The following is a 22703-nucleotide window of genomic DNA, read 5'->3' on the forward strand; positions in this document are numbered from 1 at the left end:
AAGAGATGACCCACAGACAGAATGTAAATTTTGTAGAAACCAAGATTACTCTATCCCCTGAGTCACTCGTCTTTATTCCAGAAAGGACAAAAAGCTTTTTATTATCGCAGAAGGGATGCATGGTCCTTTATTAAGGTGCCCTTATCCAAACCAGATCCCAAATAATATAAAAAAATCCTCTACCAAAAAGAGGGAGGGTAAATCAGACTGAAGACTCAGCAGGGCAGAAAAGGCTAGCCATGGAAGCAGGGAGGTCAAAAGGCTCAAGTGAGTACTGGGCATTGCTTCCAGGAATCACCGATTCCTTTCAATAGTGATATTTTTCAGGTCCCATTTCTGATACCATGTACATCAACCTAAACAATGAACAGAGAGAGGCTCTCTAAAATAAAAGATATTTATTAGGAAATAAAGAATTGCAGTGGAAATACACATGCCATGGTAAACTATGTGCATATTCAGAAAGGTATATGGAGATAAAGGCATTTAAAGGAAAAACTCAAGAGGATTGGATAACTGTTTTCAAATAATTGTCCTTGGCTACAAAGACCCATAACAAGGATGACACCAGTCTGAGGTTGTACAAGCAGTTGCTAGGCAGATGTCTTTGCAGAAGCATTTTTTATGTAAGGTTGTGATGGCAGTTTGTGCAGGGTTGTGGTTTTTGCAGTCTGTGATAGTTTTTGATATCAGGCATACAAGCATGAGAACCCTCTCTTCATGGCCTTTCCCAGCTCTGCTTGTCAGGGTTTTCTTAACATCAGTGACTCTATTTTGGTGGAGACAACTTTCACAAAAGTGTTGTCTTTGAGTAATATTTTAGAAAATAGAAAACCCTCCCCTGCCAGTTAATTGAATAAAAGTAGCTGATGCTCTATCAAGAGAATTAGACATCAAAAGAATTAGACTTTTGGGCTGTGATAGACTTGTAACAAAGTAGAAATGACTACAAGTATTATCCTCCCCAAAACAAGAACATTGTATCTAGAATTTAAGTACTTATATTGTGGTTCTGGATTTTAATAACTAACTGTGTGTGCAAACTCACCTAACCTATCTGGCATCCTGCTCCTCATATGTAAAATATGAGTTACACTACATCAGTGCAACTCCCAAGCGTTTTTCTCCCAAAAAGCTTGAAAGTAGTCTTTAAATAAAATTGCAAGATGAAAATAATGTTATAAAATATATACTATTGGAGCTGTGGTTGAACTAGGAATGTTCAAGAATGTAGGACCCAGAAATACAATTGAAACCTTGCTGAGAAACACTGTAGCAGCTTCAGGGGAGCAGTGGTCTCTCCCCTGTATTGATGATAAAATCTGCAATATAAAACAATGTGATGGCTGGGTGGTATGGCTTTCACCTGTAATCCAGGCACTTTGGGAGGCCGAGGCGGGCAAATCACCTGAGGTTAGGAGTTTGAGACCAGCCTGGCCAACATGGTGAAACCCCATCTCTACTAAAAATGCAAAAATTAGTTGGGCGTGGTGGTGGGTACCTGTAATCCCAGCTACTTGGGAGGCTGAGGTAGGAGAATTGCCTGAACCCAGGAGACAGAGGTTGCAGTGAGCTGAGATTGCACCACTGCACTCCAGCCTGGGCAACAGAGTGAGACGCTGTCTCAATAAAAAACAAAACAAAACAAAACAAAACAAAACAAAACAAAACAAACCACAATGTGATATACTGAGTGTGAAGCTCCTCTTCTAGAATGGCAAATCGGGGACCTTGGTGTACAGATGTGCTGCTATGCAGTGATGGCAAATAAATCTGTGCTTGTTTCAAACTGAGTTTTTAGATGGGTTACTTAGTATTTAGCCTTCTATCACCTTCAAACTACGAAATTCTACCTCTAATCCTCCCATGTGTAAGAAGACACCTCATGAGAACACATCATTCTCTGAGATAGTGATTTATTTCTCACATGTTGACAATCCTGAAAAAAAAAATCTCTTATGGTCTGAAGCTGGCATATTGTAGTTTTAAGCAGAGACCCCAAAGTAATCCCATTTCTGGGTGATTTCATTAACCACTTGCAGTGACTTTCCTGATCTGGAGATGATTTTCTACCAGAATCGGAAGTACTCATTCCTTTGGTATTTATTTAGTGTCTTCCATATGCCAGGCATATGCTCAGTGCAAGATAGAAAGCTCTTTGTCTTCAAGGAAGTTAGGGTGTAGAGTGGGAGACTGCCATTCAAACTAACAATTCCCATTCATGATGATGAGTTCCACTGAGGTCTGCACAAGGTGCTACTAGAAAGATGGGGAAGTAAGCCAACACAGCCTAGTGGGGGCACTGGGGAAGCCTTCTTTGAGTGGAAGATGATGCCTGAGTAGGCATAGGAGGAGGAAGAAAAGTGTTCTAGGCAGAGGAAACAGCACTTGGGAAAACAGAGAGTCAAGAAAAAGTAAAAGGAGTTGAGGATCTCCAAGTATTTTGCAATGGCTAGAGGATCAACCCCATGTGTGTGGGCTGAAAACAAGGCTAAAGAGGTTGGTAGAGCCTCCCTCATGTGCTGTGATCAAGGAGTTAAACTTTATCCCAAAGGCTGTGGAAAATCTCTAATGGAGTGTAAGTAGGGGAAAAACAAAATACAGACATGTGTGTTGGAAAGCTCTGTCAACAAGATGGAGTATAGACTATGGTGGGGGATGATGGGAAGAGACAGGTAAGGAATGAACCTAGAGGGCTGGGGATTAGTGACAAGATTGGCCCAACGAAGGAGTAATCAATGTCAGATGGAAGACCATGGCCTTTAATTGCTGTTGAAAAACCCTTTCATTCCTTAATAAGCCCTATTTGTCATGGTACATTTTTTCGTGTTCTGTATTTACCTATGTTATATTAGAGACTTTTACATTGTCATTAACTAGCAAAATTGATCTGAATTTGGAAAGTGTATTTCTTTTCTATGCTTTGAAAGGGTTGAAATAATACCACATTATTTGTTCTTTAGAGATTTGGAAAAAAAAGCTTTTGAATCTTTTTTGACCTAGTTTTCTTGGGTGTAGGATGTGTGGGGAGTAGTTGTTCTTTGACTTAGAAGAGAAAGATGATAAATCTATAGTCATGAAATAAATCAAGAATACTTTCAATTTGGATGTTATAATTTCCTAGAAAATATTTATTTCATCTAGAAATTCAAAATTATTTTTATAGAGTTTTTACAAAGTACTCATAATTCTTTTTAATATCTTATGCAGATGAGGTTTCTTTCTCCCTTTAGTCTCATTGTTATTATTTGTGTTTGTGCCTTCTCCTTTTTAATTTTTGTTTAGGCTAACTGCTGATTTATGTATATTACTTCCCCCGCCAAGAATCGCCTTTTGGTTATATTGATAAATTCTACTTTCTGTCTTCTGTTTTATAACATATGCATTTCTTTTTATTGTAAATAATGTTTTCCTTCTGCTCTCCTTAGGTTTAATTCCTTTTAAATTATTGAGTTGAATTCTTATTTAGTAATATTTAGTAATATAAGTATAGAACTTCAATTTTTCTACTGTTAACAGCTTTAGCTGTTTACTATGGTTTATTATTAACTGAGTGCATTTAATATTATTATTTTCTAGATATTCTGCAACTTTGGAGCCAATAACAGAATCATGAACTAAATAAATTGTTAGAGAATGAGTTAGCATTTTCAGGTGATTCATTTTGTTACTCATTTCTACTTTTATTGCATTATAACCAGACAGCATGGTCATTACTATTATTACAATTTGTTTTTTGAGGTTTATTTTGTGCCCAATATATAGCCAAGTTTTTGTAAATATTTTTACAAGTATTTGAAAACAGTTCTATACTCTTTTTAAGGATGTGGAATTATAAAAATGTAATTTAATGAATTAGATTCTAGATTCTTTATATCCTCACTAAATTTTTGAGTATTTAACCTATTTGAGGTTGAGAGAAATAAATCAAAATCCTCCTCTATTTGAAGAATTCTCATTAAATTTTCTGCATTTTACACTTTATGTATTCTTATGTTATAATAATTAGAATGTAAAATGTAACATTAGTGATGTCTTCATTGATATCACTAGATTGAATGTTTTTGTGATGATAAACTGTGCTTTGGCCTTGTTTAATATATTTTTTGCCTTGAATTCTGTCTGGCAAAGACGTAAATAAGTGCAAAAAAGAATAGTAATATGAATAATTTTACCTATAACCTTTATGAATGACTATTTGAATAATATAAAGCATACAGCTAGTTTTTGTTTATTCAATCCAATTTGATAATTTTTGATGAATTTATTGTATTTACACATACACATGTAACATACATATTACATTCATAACGTGTGTTTCAATCCTGTCATCTTAGGGGTTTTCTCTTTCTAATGCTTCCATAGTTTTCCATCTTCAATCTCCCATCTTTGGTTATATGGTTTATGTCTTCTTTATTTTGGTTCTGTTGCTCCCCTTCTACTGACATTTTGAGAGATTTGTAATCTGGTTTTTAGTTCCTCTGGGGGTCACTGTTATGACTGTAAATATTTTTTAAGGCTAGCTCTATTGACTCCTTGCTATGAAATACAGGGAAATAAATGCCCTTGTTCATCCATCACCCATATCTCACTACCTTGCTTTTTAATTTCTTTATTTTCACAATGTCAAAGTTTACAAAACATATTAAATGTTGTAAAATTCTAATGGCTCCATTGTTCACCGCCAGTCCTTAAATATCAAAGCTTCCCCATTTCTGGTTCTTTACTTTGGGTCATCTTTTGGCTGGCTGGGGCTCATTCTGTATCCGTTTTTCTCATGAGGGCTTATGGTTGTTAGGTCCTGACTGCATATGCATGTCTAAGGACCGTATTTATGGCTGATAATTGGTTGGCCTGAAATTGTTGGGGTACGGTTATGTCTTCCGAAGACTCTGTAAACATTGCCCTGGAATTGAATATTCTGTGGATGTATCATGCTAACACAGTGTTTCTATTTTCATCATTGCTCCTTACCCAAAGATCCTTTAATATTACAGATATGCTCTATATTTATTTATATATTATGGTCCTCTAGAAGGCCACAAACTATTATAATATCTAATATTATTTTCATTCCCCCAATAATAAATTTTTGTCCCCTTGAAGGCAATATCATCCCTCTTGAGAATGAATGTAGTAACCTGATGACCCTTATCCTCTTGTAAGTGACTACTTTTTCCGTGTAGATAGTGGATTTATTTTTTTCTGCAAATTTTCTTAATTCATAGTGTGTTTTTTTGCGACTGCAGATTTAGGGCTTTCTTTTATCTCTGCCAACTTTTATTGTATTTTGAACTTTTTTCAGGGCTTATTTATTCCATTCTCTTATCGAAAAATAACAATTCTATATTAGGTAACTGCTTTCATCTTCCACATCTCTAATCTTCTCTTTGTCATCTTCTTTTGTCCTTTTTCCCCCATTTTGCCTAATTGTCTCAAAAAGTACACATCATTGCATTTCAGATATATATTTTTTCTTTCTTGCTGCTTTTAATGGTTTTTAAAATTTGGGTAGTAGTTTTATTGTCTTCTATTTCATATATATCATAGCATCACTGTTAGAATTATCGTTCTAATTTTGGGGGTAATCTTTTCCTTCTCTCCCTCTCCAGGTAAGCAGATTGCCAGCCAGAGGATCCATGTGAATTTGCAGCATAGTTCCATGGCTCATAGGTCTTCTATTTGATGATTCTGTACTAATTTATTTTGCTTAGTTGGATGTTGTAAGCAAGTTCAAAGCTAGTTGCTATTTCTGGTCTTTTTTCCTCCTTGCCTCATCTCAGGCTGTTTTCAGCATAGGAGTCTTACTCGGAAAAAGCAAAGGTGAAAACAGTACTTCTTCAGTCCTTGTTCTCCCTCTGTTCATCCGTGTGTAACAAGACTCCTCTACCCTTCCCCTCTTCTCCAGGATGGCCTCCACCTCAAATGGCCTCATGGTCCTCCTTCTCATCGTTCTAGGTAAAGCTGGGACCCATGGGTCCCTCCCACTTATTTTCAAAGAAATCTGCATTCTTATTAAGACTCAAGGAGGTATGAATTGTTTTTCACTATCTCTGGTTTGGGTCTAAGGTTTACTATCTTTTGACAGTATTCTTCACAGCCTGGGGTTGGGAATTGTAGCCATTTTCTATTTTTCATTTTAGATGCAGTTTTCTTCATTTTTTATTCTTTTGGATTGTATCTAATAATTTCAGGAAATTAAGAAGAGTAAATACAACCTTAGTCCTCATCCTTGACTAGAAATTCTCAGCTCATGGTTATGCATCTCCCCAGTAGGTGCAGTTTACATTCCCTGTTCAGAGTTGTGACTAGGATCAGGCAAGAGGCCACTAGTTATAAAATAGGGATGCCTATTAGGCATGCCCAGTTAGGGATTTCAGATAGTTAAAGGATTAAAAAAAACCCTGTTACATTAGGAAGTGTGAGAAATAAGGATACAAAGAGGCAGAGAAAAGAGAGAAGGAAAATTCTACCAGGTTTCTGTGACAAGATGGTTGTTGAAAATCAACAATGAAATTAACTTGAAAATTACCAGAATCCAAGGCTGAGGAGGAAAATCACAATGGCCTATTCAGCTTTCATCTTGATGAGGGGAAGCACATTATCCAACAGAGATTAACCATTATTCTGCTCTAAAAATTCATATGAAGAATTTGTTAAATGAATATCTGCGTGCCCTTTATGTTTCTGACAGCAGGAAGGTTTGGAGAAGAGGAGCTGGGGGCCTGGCACTCAGCTGGTCCCCAACAGTGAGGGAAGAACTTGCCTCTGCCCTCTGGGTTCACTTCCTGATGCTGGTCCTGGGCCTTCCTCCTGTGCTTTACACCTGGTGCTTTACACCTTGGCAGTCTTGGTTCCTGAAACCTAGGTAATCCTTCTGACTTTGTTCTTCTGGTTCATAAACTTTCTACTCATTTCAGATAGTGAGAACTTCCTAGACTTGTCTCTGCCTGGTCTTTCCTGGTCACTTAGCTTGAGCCTTCTGCTTCAAATGCTGTCTGATGCCATGACATAGTCATGAGTCTCCTTCACCTGGAAGAGCAAAGGGTCAGATCAACCTCTCAGCGAAGGGTGGATGCACTCATGGTGGCTTGGTGGCTTCTGGGGAAGACTATTGAAATGCACTACTCAGATCTCATATCAGAATTGGAGGATCTATTCCCCCAGCTACTGAGAGTTCTGATGGAAGAAAGACTTCAGTTGTCAGCTTCTTATTGCCTTAACTGAAGGCCATGCCCCTTGTGAGGGCTGCCTACATCTGATGACTGATGTTTATGGGGATTTGAAAGCATGGACAGCACTGAAGAGCCCCCATACAAAAAAAAAAACTTTCCATAGGGTTCATGGAGGCCTTCATTGAAACTACATTACAGCCAAACTTCTCCTTTCACCCAGTCTGGCTTTTTTTCCTTTCTTTTTCCAAGAATATGCACTAACAACCTTCCTGTCCATGAATTCTCATTAAGAAGTCTGCTTCCTGCAGAATTCAACAGGTAACAGCTTCTTACAGCCAGCTCAGGCTAATCCACTACATCATAATTATCAGAACATCATGAAATTGGCCTACACACTGCAGTATTAACTAATAAGAACGTATAGGGCTGGGAAGGAAATGTGGGGCACTATAAAGGATTGGAATTCCAGAATAGAAGAGGATGGATTAAAAGGGCAGGAAGAAGTAAAGAAGAAAACCAAGCATATTGGTGTAGCTACATCTGTCCTCAAGATTCAAGCTTTGGGGTTTAGACATTGATGGAGCATCTGAAAACTACTCTCCCCATTCTACCAACTTCACTTGAACTACTTAAATTACAAGGAACATCTAAAATCTCTATAATATTTCCTATTCTCACTCTGTTTAGAATGCTTCTACTTACCTTCCCATCTGATCCTTACACCAGTCTCTGTCTGAAGTGGTACCATGCTTATCTTACAGAAGGAGAGAATCAGAGAGTTTGGGTGACTTGTCCAAGGCCACCCAGCCAGAGGCCAGGGCTCCAGGGCCCAAGGCCAGTGCATTGTCCACACTGTGGGAGTTTCCTCTCAAATGAAGGAGCTCAAGAGAGCCAGAACAGGCACTTCCCCCATTTTAAGTTCAGTACATTTTTTTAGAGTTGCCTGTTTCCTGGTATTGTTTGCACAGCTTGAATAAAACACCCTGGGGTCTCTGGCCTGCATGAGGACACTGCAAAAATAATGGAAATCAAGTTAGAGTTAGAGAAAAACGCTGATTCTCTCGGCTGACACCTTCTGCTCTCTCCACAGGTGTAAATACTACTCAACAAACCCCTTTAGTGCACAAAGCTAGGGGTCTATTTATTTTTAAAATTAAAAAAGCCTATCTGATATTTTGCTTGTGGTCTCAGAGCTTCTTGCTATGCCACTGTGCACCTGCACTGTTGGTGTAATAAATGCCTGGGGGATGTTCCCTGAAGTTTCCATGGGGCCTACATTAGTTTTATTTTCTTTATGTGGGTCTAAGCATTACTGAGCAGATCAAAATCAATTCCTGGAAGACCAGAAGACCATTTGATAGAGTTGTGGCGTAGCTGGCAAGGGATACTCTGCTATGAGTCTTGCTACTGAATATTTTAAAACAGAAATAATTCAAGAAACTGGAGAAAATCTCCCTCTGTCTTTGCATGACTCGCGAGTCTTTGGATCTGTGTTCCGCTCGTCCTTGTCTTCCATAGCTTGTATTGCTCTGGATGATGGTGGAGTGCCAGGATTAGAGTATAATGTGTATTCCCTTTTGTCTCTCTCTTGAGACCTATGGTTAATTTTTTTTTTCACATGTAAGTAAAATAAGCAAATCTCTAAGAATACTAATAGTAAAAAAATAGGGATGTTTCTCCTCCTCTCTCCGCTCTTGAAAAGCCCAGTACAGCCCGCTCCCATGCATCAGCTGGGCTGGGCGGCCACACCTCTCCCTCCAAGGCTGATTCAGCAGTGAGTTTCGTAAAGCTGTTCTGACGCTTGAGAAGTCCTCTTAACACTAAGCAGGTAGTGGATTATGGTTGCTTACTTGCTTTATTTATTTATTTATTCATCCTTTTGATGTTTTCTTTCTAATAAGAGGTATATGAGTCATCTGTTGTGGACTTTATTTTGTGAAGGAATGCTTGGCATGATAAGAACTCTGTAGAAGTTAACAAGTTGAAGAGGAAAAATGACTCATCAACACCGACATTTTATATCACTGTGTGGAATGAAGAAAAATACTACCACAAAATGGAGTTGTGGGTGATGGTTAGGAAATTAGACAAGAGCCATATAAACAGAAAGGCACTTCTTTTAGTTTTCTTTTTTTAAAAGTTTTTTTTTACTTTTGTTTTTTACAATAAAGAACAGGACAAAATGCATTTCTATCCAATTGAATGATTTTAGTTAGTGAATATTTTAAAGAGAAAGTGAGTAGGGATGGTGGTAGAGGGTTGGAGAAGACTCACAGGGTAATAAATCATAGCAATTTAGAGAGTACAGTTTGGGACTATGCTACCATGGACTAGATAAGGGTATTAACTGGGAGCTAGACCTCTGGGTACTGACACCATGGGCTAAATTAAGTGAAGAGCAGATGAGGGTCACACTCAAACCATTCCCACCCCTGCTGTCTAGGTGTCATCTACATCTCAGCTATAGCCAGAGACCAACTTCTTAATGTTAGCTGGTTTGCTCTAGCTAAAACTGATTAACTTTATTGAGGGCTAGTTTTTCTCTCTAAGAAGGTCCTTTTATTTACTTATTTATTTTTGAGACGGCATCTCGCTCTGTTGCCCAGGTGGGAGAGCAGTGGAGCAATCTCAGCCCACTGCAACCTTTGCCTCTGGGGTTCAAGCGATTCTTGTTCCTCAGCCTCCTGAGTAGCTGGGATTACAGGCATGCACCACCATACCCAGCTAATTTTTTTCTTTTTTTTTTTTTGGTAGAGATGGGGTTTTACCATGTTGTCCTGGCTGGTCTCAAATTCCTGGCCTCAAGTGATCCGCCTGCCTCGGCCTCTTAAAGTGTTGGGATTACAGGCATCGTGAGCCATGACACCTGGCCAGATGGTCCTCTCTTTGCCCAACTTTGTGCTATCAGGAAGGAGGCCTGAGGAGCTATGAAGCACGGACCAGCATCTTTCTAAATAACCAGATCAACTGAATCAACTGTTATAGTCAAAGGAGTGACAGATACTTCTTTAGATCCTTCCTTCCTTGCATATTAACAAAGTTAACTTACATAGAACAAAATACACATCTTTTTACAACATGCAATTTTCATTGGTATATAGTGCAATGTTTTCCAACACAAAGTGCCTCTCAGTCTGACAAGAATGATTCTTTAGAAAAGATCCCAGAGTTAAGATAACCTGGAAAAGACAGCAGTAAAATAAACCTTCTTCAAAAAATATTCTCAGAAGGTAGGAAGGAAAAGTGTGGTAGACACAGATATGTGCTGTCCTTCTGAGAAGGACGTCTGCTTAGCTGTGGGGCTTTGGGGAGTGTGGTCAGCAAGATTGCTTCCAGCTGTCAGCTGCTTTGGGCTCTCTCAGCTAGAGACAGTCACTTGGCCAGGTTTCTGCCTTTTCTAGGATGGTCTGTCATAACTGAGGGAGGTTTCAGCCCACCAGGCAGCTCAGATTGGCAATACACATTTCTGAGCCTCCTGCCAGCTTCCTGAAGACTTTATTAGGCCTGCGTTGCAGTTCAGCAACTTCCTGATTCCTCAGTCCTGCTTCCACATGCTTTCTTTCACAGGTGTTGACTCTTAACAAATAAGTGTCTTGCATCACAAACGCCAATGAGATGTCTGCCGGGGAACCCAGCCTGTGACAATTGGTGTCTGTTTCTGAAAAAGCAGGCAGTAAGATGCAGATCTGTAAGGCAAAACTGTGAAGCAGACAGAATATAGTTCGAGAGCACCTCCCATTGCCCCATCTGCCCTGTTCCCACCCTACTGCCAAATGTTCCCTTCCCAAATATCTAGGGTGGTCTTGCTCTTCTGGATCCCTCCACTTCCCCATCCTATGGTTCCCTACACTCTAGGTCCTTTTGCTTTTGTCTCCTGGATATCAAAATTTATGTCTAATATATAGTACATGTAGGTATGAACAGAGGATGGTATCTTAATGTTGCACTCAAAAAATGTTTTCCCTTTACTGGGTACAGTCAATTGGCATTCTTAAATATTGACTTTGTGCTATGAAATGTGGAAGGGATTGGTTTCTTGCCCAAGAGTTTCCTTGTTAGTTTCACCTGCCTTCAGCCTTGTCCTTTGTACATGTGTTTGCCACACTGTCCCTTAAACAGCCTTTCTTTCTTTTTTTTCTTTCTTTTTTTTTTTTTTTTTTGAGATAGAGTCCTGCTCGGTTGCCCAGGCTGGAGTGCAATGGAGCGATCTTGGCTAACTGCAACCTCCAACTCCCAGGTTCAAGCGATCTCTTGCCTCAGCCTGCCAAGTAGCTGGGATCACAGGCAACTGCCACCATGCCCGACTAATTTTTTTTGTATTTTTAGTAGAGACAGGGTTTCGCCATGTTGGCCAGGCTGGTCTCGAACTCCTGACCTCAGGTGATCCACCCACCTTGGCCTCCCAAAGTGCTGGGATTACAGGCACCTGGCCTGAACAGCCTTTCTAAAGCGTAAATTGATGGTCTTTGCCTTTGTGAAACTCCTCCATGGCTCTCCTGACCCTCAGAATAAAATAACAATGATGGTAATAGCTACCTTTTACCCAGTACTTTGTATAGGCCAGGCACTATACACAGCATTCTCTATGGGTTAGCTCAGTAGCTCCTCACCACATTGCTTAGAGGTGGGTAAATTGTTGTTTCCATTTGATAGCCTTGATTCAGGTGCCAGCTCAGGATGTCAGATCCTGTCCTCCTACCACACTGCCCCAATCTTTTTCTGTGGCTGCAGATGCCATATATAACTTAACATCAACTCATCTTTCCAGCATCACTAAACTTCTCTCCACTCCCCACGCTGAACTCCCTGGGCTCTCTTTTATTTCCAGACCTTTGTCCTTGCTGTTTTCTAGAACTCTTCCTGACCCATGCTGCTGCAATCCCAGCTGCTCTCTCCTCACTGAGCTTCTGTTCGCTTTTCCAGTCTCCTTTTAGACATCACTTCCTGTGTCAGCCCCTCTCACCCTTCTCCAAATAAGCTGGGGAAGATGGCCCTCCATGTGTCCACCATTACTGTGATACCTGTTTCTGTCATCCCCACTGGTCTGCCTCAAGTTCTTGAGGGAGGAAACATGTGTTGCTCACTGCTATATCCTCAGCACTGGTAGCACCTGACACAAAGTAGATGCTCAAATATGAGTGATGAATCCCAAGGGAATACATGTACTGTTAATTTCGTGATGGTGGTGGAGGTGTGGAGGCAGGATATCATTTCTTTGGGAGTGGTCTTTTCTTTCTTTCTTTTCTTTTCTTTTTTTTTTTTTTTTGAGACAGAGTCTCACTCTGTTGCCCAGGCTGGAATGCAGTGGCACGATCTCGGCTCACTCGCAACCTCCGCCTCCTGGGTTCAAGCGATTCTCCTGCCTCAGCCTCCCGAGTAGCTGGGATTACAGGTGCCCATCCCTACACCCAGGTAGTTTTTGTATTTTCAGTAGAGATGGGGTTTCACCATGTTGGCCAGGCTGGTCTCAAACTCCCGACCTCAGGTGATCCGCCTGCCTCGGCCTCCCAAAGTGCTGGGATTACAGGCGTGAGTCACCGCACCCGGCCAGGAGTGGTCTTTTCTAGGATGTAGTCATTTTTGCTCCTCCCAAACAAAAAGCCTGTTCTCTGGGACATCAGGTGACAGACTAGCTGTAGAGTCATAATTTCTCACTTTCATTAAGTAGCTGTCCTTATCAGTAGGATAGGTGAACAGCAGCAGAAACTTTTCCCTAGGGAATTTCAGAGGCCATGAGGTTGGAAACTGGAGTCTTAGTTGTCATAACCTAGTTCCCTTGCGTGGTGCTGCAGATCCCCATTGTCTGGGGAAGTCAGCTTGGCTGCTCACACAGTGGGGCAAACATGGGCTCCAGGGTGCAACTTGGGACTCAGATCTGGGCTCTGCCACTTGTTATCTCACGTCTCTAAGCCTCCATTTCTTTCTCTGAAAAATGGAGATACTATCTACTTCTCTTATTTTAAGCTGTGGAACTAATTTATGTTGCATTCCCAGCCCTCAATTAACCGTGGAGTGCACAATCTGATTGAAAGAACCCGATCGAGGCCATTTTCTGGGTGTGCATCCCTGTCTTCCTCTTTGGACAGCCTCTTGGGAAGGAAACATACCATTTAAAAAAGAAAAGTAGGGTTTGTGAGTGGAGCTGCAGCCATCTTGCCCGACAAATTGACCTCTTTGGTGATTGGGGCTACATTTTTTATCCAAGTCAGGTCCAGAGTCTCTTAATGCCATTTTGTCTCTGACCATGTGTGCCACCCAGGAGGATCTGGGGTCGTATCGTTCCAAGCCAGAAGAAGCCTAACGATTGCTTGTTGAAAGAAAATTGTTATGGGCTCTCTAGGTATTTGCAGCCTGACAAATAACTGTCTTTCTCAAAGAGTTTAGACACACATAACTAAACACTGAATACCCATATGGCCCATCACAGATGAAAAGGTGGTAAATAAGAAAAGCCCAGTGTAATCAATAATGTTGTCTTCTAAACTACATGAAGAAAAATTCCAGTCAATATCTGGGATAGTCAGTTCTTTTAAAACCAGGGAATGATGAGAATGAGACGATTCCATATATAGAAAACGATGTGAGGAAATCTTTATTCTAATTCAAAATGTTCACATTTTTGCAATTCATGAGATTTCTCTGTAGCAAAAGAGGAATATGATTGTATATAAAATTTAGTGGCTCTGAACAAAATTGAGTAAATGCTGGAAAAAATTTTGCCGTGTCATTTCGCCTACAAAATGATAAAGGAAAATAATAGCTAAAAAGGCAGCAAGAAATAAGCAGGCTCTGGTTGGGAGTAATTTTTTTTTCAAATGCATTTTTTAATTAAAAAGAAATTGCCTCAGTTAACTGTTTTCAGAAATAAGGCATAAGAATAACCTAAAAACACTGCTTTCTGGAAAGCATAGATATTTATTTTAAATCAACTTGGTTAAAAGACCTTTAACTTGCTATATAGCTCAGTGACTAAATGTTACTGCACTAAGAAACCACAGACTATTTTTCTCAGGATCTTTTATTTTTTCCCTTAGAGAGGGAGATTGTCTCTTCCCTGGTGGAGTTCAGTGAATCAGAATATTGGTCAAATATGTATTGAATGCACATGATTTGACCCGTGTGGATCCACTCTTTAGAGAAAATGGCCTTGATCGGGCTCTTTCAATCAGATTGTACACTCTACGGTTGATTGAGGGCTGGGAATGCAACGTAAATTAGTATGCTTTTTTTAATGTGTAGAGAGTGGTTTCTGCTGCTTTTGAACAAGCTAAAGAAATGTTTTTCCCATGAATCTCTGGGCATCCTGGGTATATCTGTCTGTTCTAGCCCTGACTTCCTCACCGTACATGGGGTGCTTCACTCACTTAGGCCTCCCATCCCCTACCTACATCATCCTCCCTCCCCAGTCTGAACACTCCCGCACTCTGCCCAGCTGTGCCAGGAAGAATGGCCACTCAGGGACAAGGCAGCAGGACCACTGTTGTTCTTTCCTTCTTTCAAACACGTAGGCACTTGGTGTGGGCACTCTTCTAGGTGCTGGAGAGAGAGAAAGTAATGTGTAGAAAAGCAAATACTGCATGATCTCACTTATATGTAGAATCTAAATAAGTCAAATCCATAGAAGCAGAGGGTAGAATGGTGGTTACCAGGAGTGTGAGTGAAGAAATGGGGAGATGTAGGTCAAAGGGTACAAAGTTACAAAGTTACAGTCATATAGGGTGAATAAGCCTAGAGATCTAATGCACAGCCTGATGACTATAGTTAATACTGTATTGTATACTGGAAATTTACAAAAAGTAGATATTATGTGTTCTCACTGTAGAGTCCTAAGTAGAGAAAGGGAATTAGGCTTGTGGGAGCAGGAGAAAGCAAAAAGAGAAAACAGATAAACTGCAAGTTTACCTTTCTTCATGGTTCAGGACACAGCCCTCCTGTGCAAATAACTCTCAATCTTCCTGCATCCAGCTATCACCAGACACCTGCAAGTCAGTTCACTGCAACCTTGGCATTATCAATATTGCACAAAGCCCTCTTCGACAGACAGCATAAACACTATCCTATAAAATCTCCAGCAAGCCTTTGTCTCTTGGCAATTGGCTTCTCTCTTTGAGGCTGTCCGTTCTCTCTCTGGCAATGTATTTTTTCACTTTCTCTAATAAATCTGACTTCCTTGAGCTACAACTGTCTTGGCAAATTCTTTTAACCCTGCGCCATTGACTGTGGTTCCCCAAAAACACTCACCACAAAAAAAGTAACTGTGAAAAGATGAGTATGTTAAGTAGCTTGACTGTAGTAATCATTTCACTATGTATATGTATATCAAAACATCATGTTGTATGACTTCAATATATATTTTTTTATTTAAAAAAGTAATGGTAAGCATTACTTCTGCCTGGGAAGAACCAAGATGAGTGCTAAGGAGAAGTTGGGGGAGAGGCTTTGCTTTTGATTGAGAGGACAGTTTGAATGTCAAGAAAGAGGCCAACTGCAAAGATCTAGGGGCAGGGAATTCAGGCACAGAGATAGGTAACTGTACAGGGCCTACGGTGGACAGGAAAAGGCCAGTGTGATTGGATCACAGTGTGGGAGGGGGATGGCTTTTGGAGGGAGGTGCATTTGAAGTTGTAGTAGGAAAGAGGGGCCAGACCATTTATCACTATTTACTGATATCTCTCCATTTTCCTCTCTAGCTCCACCCTCCACCCTGTTCTATGGCCCTGGGCGTGACTTGCTCTTGCCCCTTGCCTTCTGTTTGGATCCTGCCAATGAGGACTCCTAGCAGGAGATGGGGGCTCTCATATTTAACTGAAAGGCTCAGCTCCACGCAGCGTTTCTGTCTCCAGGTAACAGTAGCCGTACCTTCCTTTCAGGCCTGGGTGCTACCTGCACCCCACTATATGTGTAGCTTCATGACCCGTCTGCCCAGTTTTGAGGAGAGTTCCATGAACTATTTACAACTTTTTCCTAATTTGAGTATGTCATCTGTTTCCTGTGGGACCGTGAGTCATTAAGCCATGTCAGCCGTGGTAGAGAACCTGGATTTTGTTTTAAGAACAATGATATCCATAGGAGATTTTAATTTTTAAAACTTTAAGTTGGGTTTATTGAGGTATATAATTTATATACAGTAAAATTTACCCCTTTTAGATGTACAGTTTTATGAATTTTGATAAAGGCCTATGGTCATATGATCACTACCACAATCAAGATGTAGATCATTTTCAACCATTGGAGGGTCTTAAGCAGGGGGGTTACCTGACTTGTTTTCCATTTTAAATACATTACTCAAACTTGAAGAAAGGTCATAGGAAGGCAATAGTACAGCAGAGTCTGGTTAAGAGACTACTGCAGCAGTGTGGGCACTGTGCTGGACAGTCAGGGTACAGTAGTGAATGATCTTTTGCTCTTAAAAAAGATTACAGTTTAGCAGGAGAAATCAACAAGGAAACAGAACATTATAATTCAGCGCAGTTGCCTGTGTGACATGTTGAAATGTGGGGTGCTATGGGAGTGCCTGGGAAGAAGGTATAGGGATTAGCAATGTGCAAATTCTGCCTTCCTGTGGCCTCTCTGGTCTACCCAATCCCTTTGGGTTGGGCTAGAATTCTCCGCAATAGGTCTGATTCCAAGTTCTTATGGAGAGAGGGGTTCGGAGGTTTTGAATTCTTTAAATCCTAATAGTTCAAGGTATGAATATCACTCCTTTGAAATGTAGAACACAAAGGTAAAAAGATTAATACATCAATGCCAGATAACACGTATCAGTGCCTCCTGACATTTTTCACACTACAGCCCACACAGCACGATGAGATAAAGACTAGAGGCTGCTCACTGCTGAGAGTGGACCATCCAGCTCATTTGGTCACATAATTTCCAGCCAGCCACCTTATGGGCAAGATTTTGGCTCACCTGTAAGCTATTAGCTGGTAAGTGCTAACATAATCTACCTCCCAGCTGGTGAGTTGTCAAGGGATAGAAAGAGCTATGGATAGAAGAGCTAAAATCTGCTTGAAGTCACAGCACTGTTTGGGTCATCTTTGCTGCAGCGCAACCTCTCTGAGCTTCAGTTACCTCACCTAGGTAATGATAATAATATCTTCCTATCTTGTAGACTACTGAGCAGTTTTTCAAACATCAATTATTGCATTGTAAAAACCTCAGTGACAGGAGTATATGGAATCCTCAGGATTGATCACAGTGTTCTGCTTGATGTTTGCACCTGGGAAAATGCTTGTGGTTGATTTTAACCACTCTGAAACAACAGCTCAGGGAAGGACAGCGCAGAAGAGGGAAAATCTTGATAGCTCCTTGCCATTAACCACTTGCTTTCACTACCTATTGAAATCACCAGCTTTAATCGCTTCCTGCAGCAAATTCCTGGAGAGAAGAGACTAAAAAAAGTGAGAAAACGTGTCTAGAAGTGCCATCTTGGATGATTTTAGGTTATTAAATAACAGCCTTACAGAGGGGTTGACTGTCATGATTTTATTGCCGATTCCATCCTTGGTTATATTTCCCGAAGTTTTAAAATCATCTTTCCCCTGCATTTGTAGAATTATCTGAAATGGCTTGTTAAAAGTATACAATGACTATTAAAGGATGTCATTTTAAAAGGCAAATAGGTATCTGTCTGGATACTCAAATGGTATCTGCTTAATGATCTAAGAAATTGCTAAGCTGTTTTTTTAAAGTGGCTGTAATATTTTGTACTCCTACTAGCATAGAATAATTCCAGTTGCACCACATCTCTACCAGCACTTGATATTGTCAGTCATTTTAATTTTAGCCACTCTAGCTGTGTGTAGTGGTATATCATTGTGATTTTATTTGCATTTTCCTAACAACTAATGATACTTGGCATATTTTTATGTACTTATTTGCTGTTTGTATATGTTCTTTAGGTGAAGTGTCTATTCAAATCTTTTACCTATTTTGAAAATCAAGTCGTCTTATTTTTAGTGTGTTGTAAGAGTTTTTTAAATATTCTCAGGTGTTGGCAAACTTTTTGTTTAGGAGTCAGATAGTAAATATGTTAGGGTTATAGGTCATAAGGTCTGGATTGCAACTACATAACTCTGATATTTTAACTTGAAAGAAGCCACAGATAATACAGATAATAAACTTCTGACAAAGATGGGGGCGGGGGTGGGGGCGGAGGGGCTGTAATTTGCTAACCTCTGTTCTGGATACAAGTTCTTCATTAGATATGTTTTCAGCAAATATTTTCTTTTAGTCTGTAACCTTTTAAAAGTTTTGTTACTAATATCTTTTGAAGAGTAAAAGTTTTTATTTTTATGAAGTTAAGTTTATCAGTGTTTCTTTTATGGATTGTGCTTTTTTGGTCTTAGAAAATCTTGGCTAACCCAAGGCCATAAAGGTTTGGTTTTGTTTTTTCTTGTGGTTTATTCTAAGAGTTTTATAGTTTTAAGTTTTACATTTAGGTCTATGATCTATTAGATCATATTGATTTTTTAATTAATATTTTTGTGTGTATTTTATAAGGTAATATTAATATAAGGTAATGTTATAAGATTTTTTGTGGATGTAATAAGGTGTCAAGTTTCTTTTTTTTGTTTTACATATAAATATTCAATTGTTTCCAACTATTTGTTGAAAAGACTGTTCTTTCCACATTGAATTGCTTTGACAACTTTGTCAAAAATCAGTTGGCTAAATATGTGTAGGTCTGCTTCTTTAAAACGATATTCTAGTCTCTGGTGTGGCTTTATAATATATCTTGAAGTCAAGGAAGTCTCAAACTTTATGTTTTCTTTATCAAAACTGTAGCTATTTTAGGTCCTTTGTATTTCCAAATAAGTTTTAGAATCTTTTTTTTTTTAAAAAAAGCAACAAATGCAAAACAGCTGCTAGGACTTTATAGGGATTGTGTTGAATACCAACTTGTGGGAGAATCAACATTTTAACATTATTGAGACTTCCAATCCATGAGGATCAGAAGTTTTACTCTATTTATTTAAGTTTAAAAAAATTTATCTAATCAATGTTTTATAGTTTTTGATGTACAAATTTAATTTTTTTGCCAAATGTATCCCTATTTTACATCTTTTAATGGTATTTTAATTCTCAGTTGTTGACTCCTATTATATAGAAGAAATACAATTGGTTTTGCATATTGACCTTGCATCACACAATCTTATACTCACTTGGTTCTAGTAGCTTTTTTTTTTTGTAGATTCCTTAGGCTAGTCTACATAGATGTTCATGTCATTTGCACCATAGTGTTTTACCTCTTCTTTTCCAATCTGTATGCTTTTTCTTCTCTCCCTTCTTTCTCTTTCCTCTTCTGTTATTTCTTCTTCTCTGTACCTTAATGTTCTGGCTAGGGCATCTAGTATAACATTGAATAGAACTGGTGACAGCAGACACCTCTGTCTCCCTCTAGATGTTAGGAGGAAACATTCAGTCTTTCACTATGAAGTAGAATGCTAGCTATATGTTTTTATAGACACTCTTTATCAGAAAATTTCTTTCTATTTCTGTTTTGCTGAGAGCTTTTCATCACAAATAAATGTTGGTCTATTTCAAATGCTTTGCCACATCTATTAGGATGGTCACATGACCTATTTTTATTTGTCTGTTAATATGGCAAATTATATTGACTGACTTTTGATACAACTTGGCATTACTAGGATAAATTCCACTTGGTCATGATGTATTTTTGAAAATATATTACTGGATTCAATTTGCCAATATTCTCTTAAGAATATTTGCATCTATGTTTATGATTTTTCATTTTCATTTCTGTATTTTTAATTTTTTTTGTGATGTCTTCATCTGGTTTATGTTAGGAAAATACTGGCTTCATGAAATGGCTTGGAAGATTTGGAGGCAACCTAAATGTCCATCAACAGATGAATGGATAAAGAACAACAGGGTGACTAAAGTCAATAATAATTTAATTATACATTTAAAAATAACTAAAAGAGTGTAATTGGATTGTTTGTAACACAAAAGATAAATGTTTGAGGGAATGAATACATGAAGCGATTATTTGCATGATGTGATTATTTGCATTGCAGGCCTGTAACAAAATATCTTATGTACCCCATAAATATACACACCTACTATGTACCCACAAAAATTAAAAATTTTTAAAAAATGACTTGGGAAGTTTGTCTCCTCTATTTCCTGAAGAAGTTTGGGAAGGATTGGTATTATTTCTTCTTTAAATGTTTGGTAGAATACATCAGTGTAGCTATTTGGCTGGAGTTTTACTTGTGGGACAGTTTTGATGTAAGAATTCAATTTCTTTAACAGATACAGAACTACTCTGGTTATTCCTTCTTTTTGAGTGAGCTTTGATAGTTTGTGGATTAAATGGCAAATATTCATTTTCTTTGTCAGATGTATTGGCATAAAGTTGCTTATATAACCCCTTATTATCCTTTAAATAACTATATGATCTGTAGTAATGACTCCTCTTTCATTCTTGATATTGGCAATTTGTGTTTTTCTTAATCAGTAAGACTGACTAGACGTTTATCAGTTTTTAAAATTGATCTTAAGAAAGTGTCTGATTTTGTTTTTTTCAATTTCTACGTTTTTCTGTTTCATTGATTTCTGCTCTTATCCTTATTTACTTTATTCTAATTATTTGGGTTAAATTTACTCTTATTTTCTAGTTGATTTAGTTGGAGATTTAAATTACCTGAGACCTTCCTTCCTAATACAGACATTTAGTGCTATAAATTTTCTTCTAAGCACTGTTTTATCTCTATCCCCAAAATTTTGTGATGCTGTGTTTTCATTTTCCTTCATCTCAAAATACATATATATATTTTAGATTTTTAGGTTCGTGAGTACATGTGCACATTTATTATATAGGTAAATTGCATGTCACAAGGGTTTGGTGTACAGACTATTTCATCACCCAGGTGATAAACCTGATACGTAGTTTTTCAGTCCTCACCCTCCTCCCATCCTCCATCCTCAAGGAGGCCCCAATGTCTATTGCTCTCTTCTTTGTGCCCATGTGTACTTAATGGTTAGCTTCCATTTATAAGTGAGAACATGTGGCATTTGGTTTTCTGTTCTTGTGTTAGTTAGTTTAGGATAATGGTCTCCAGTTCCACCCATGCTGCTGCAAAGGACATGATCTCTTTTATGACATGGTGTCCCTTGTAATTTCTTTTTTAACACAAGCAGTTGTTGAGAAAAGTTTTAGTTGTTTTAAAAATATTGAGTTTTTAAAAGATATCTTTCTGTTATTATCTCTAGTTCTATTTTGGTCAGAAACATGATTTGTATCATTTTACTTCTCTTAAATTGGTTGAAATTAGTTTCATGGTACAAGATACAGCCTATTTTGATGAACACTCCATGTGTAGTTGAAAAGAATGAATATTTTATGGTCATTGATGGACTACTTAATAAATGTAAATTTGGCCTACTTGATTGATAATAATGTTTAAGCATTCTATTACCTCATTGATGTTTTTATTTATTAATTACTGAGAAAGAAGTATTGAAAGTGACAACTATATTGTGGATGTGTCTGTTTCTCCTTTCGGTTCTCTCAGTTTTTGCTTCATGTATTTTGAAGCTCTGTTACTGAGTGCATGTATATTTCGGATTGTTATGTACTGTTATGAGCTGAATTGTGTTCCTTCTGCCCAATTCAGATATTAAAGTTCTAACTCCCAGTACTTTAGAATGTGACTGTATTTGGAGTTAGGGTTTTTAAAGAGGTAACTAAATTAAAATGAGGTCAGTAGGGTGGGCTGCAGTCTAATATGAATGGCGCCCTTATAAGAAGAGATTAGGACCCAGACACACACAGAGGGAATACCCTGTAAAAAAGATGGCCATCTATAAGCCAAGATGAGGTACTTCAGAAACAATAAATCCTGACGATGCCTGATATTGGAGTCCTAGCTTCTAGAATTGTGAGAAAATAAACTTCTGTTGTTTAAGTCATCCTGTCTATGGTACTTTGTTAAGGTAGCCCTAAAAAATAAAAACACATACTTTTGGTAAATGGACACTTTTTTTATTTTTTATTTTTTATTTTTTTGAGACGGAGTCTTGCTCTGTCGCCCAGGCTGGAGTGCAGTGGCGTGATCTCGGCTCACTGGAAGCTCTGCCTCCCAAGTTCACGCCATTCTCCTGCCTCAGCCTTCAGAGTAGCTGGGACTACAGGCGCCCGCCACCAGGCCGGCTAATTTTTTGTATTTTTAGTGATCCGCCCATCTCGGCCTCCAAAGTGCTGGGATTACAGGCATGAGGACCGTGCCCGGCCAAGACTTTTTAAATTATTATAAAAGTCCCTTTTTTGTTGGCAATATTTCTCATTCTAAAATATTTTCCCTGTTTCCTTTTTTACTTTGATTAGTGTGTTTTTGTATTTTATCACTTTTAACGTATTTGTATCTTTTAAAATTATCTTTCATTGCCTTCATTATGCTAATTTTTTCCTTTATCTTCTTAATTATATACAGTATATTTATAATGCCATTTTAATGTTCTTGTATGTAGTTCCATTGGTTCAATCATTTATTGATCTACTTA

At 38.6% G+C, this 22703-nt stretch overlaps 1 long non-coding RNA gene across 1 annotated transcript in view, besides 1 other annotated feature; it reads left to right on the forward strand.

Moving 5' to 3' along the window:
• LOC105370802 (uncharacterized) overlaps positions 1-20106 on the forward strand; it is a 225875-nt gene extending 205769 nt beyond the window's left edge. Inside the window, exons 3-5 of the long non-coding RNA NR_135680.1 lie at positions 15866-16018; positions 16968-17101; positions 19985-20106. This is a non-coding gene — a long non-coding RNA (uncharacterized LOC105370802). The remainder of the gene's footprint in view (positions 1-15865; positions 16019-16967; positions 17102-19984) is intronic.
• Positions 8598-9797: an enhancer, noted in NCBI's record as "BRD4-independent group 4 enhancer chr15:46211759-46212958 (GRCh37/hg19 assembly coordinates)". NCBI's record gives its function as "activates an origin of replication core promoter dependent on BRD2, P300/CBP, MED14 and CDK7 cofactors, and independent of BRD4, by STARR-seq in HCT116 cells {active_cell/tissue: HCT116}" and the evidence as "EXISTENCE:reporter gene assay evidence [ECO:0000049][PMID:35650434]".
• Positions 20107-22703: the final 2597 nt, after the last annotated feature.

This window comes from Homo sapiens, chromosome 15 (genome assembly GCF_000001405.40).
Source record: "Homo sapiens chromosome 15, GRCh38.p14 Primary Assembly".
In the NCBI taxonomy this organism is placed as follows: domain Eukaryota; kingdom Metazoa; phylum Chordata; class Mammalia; order Primates; family Hominidae; genus Homo; species Homo sapiens.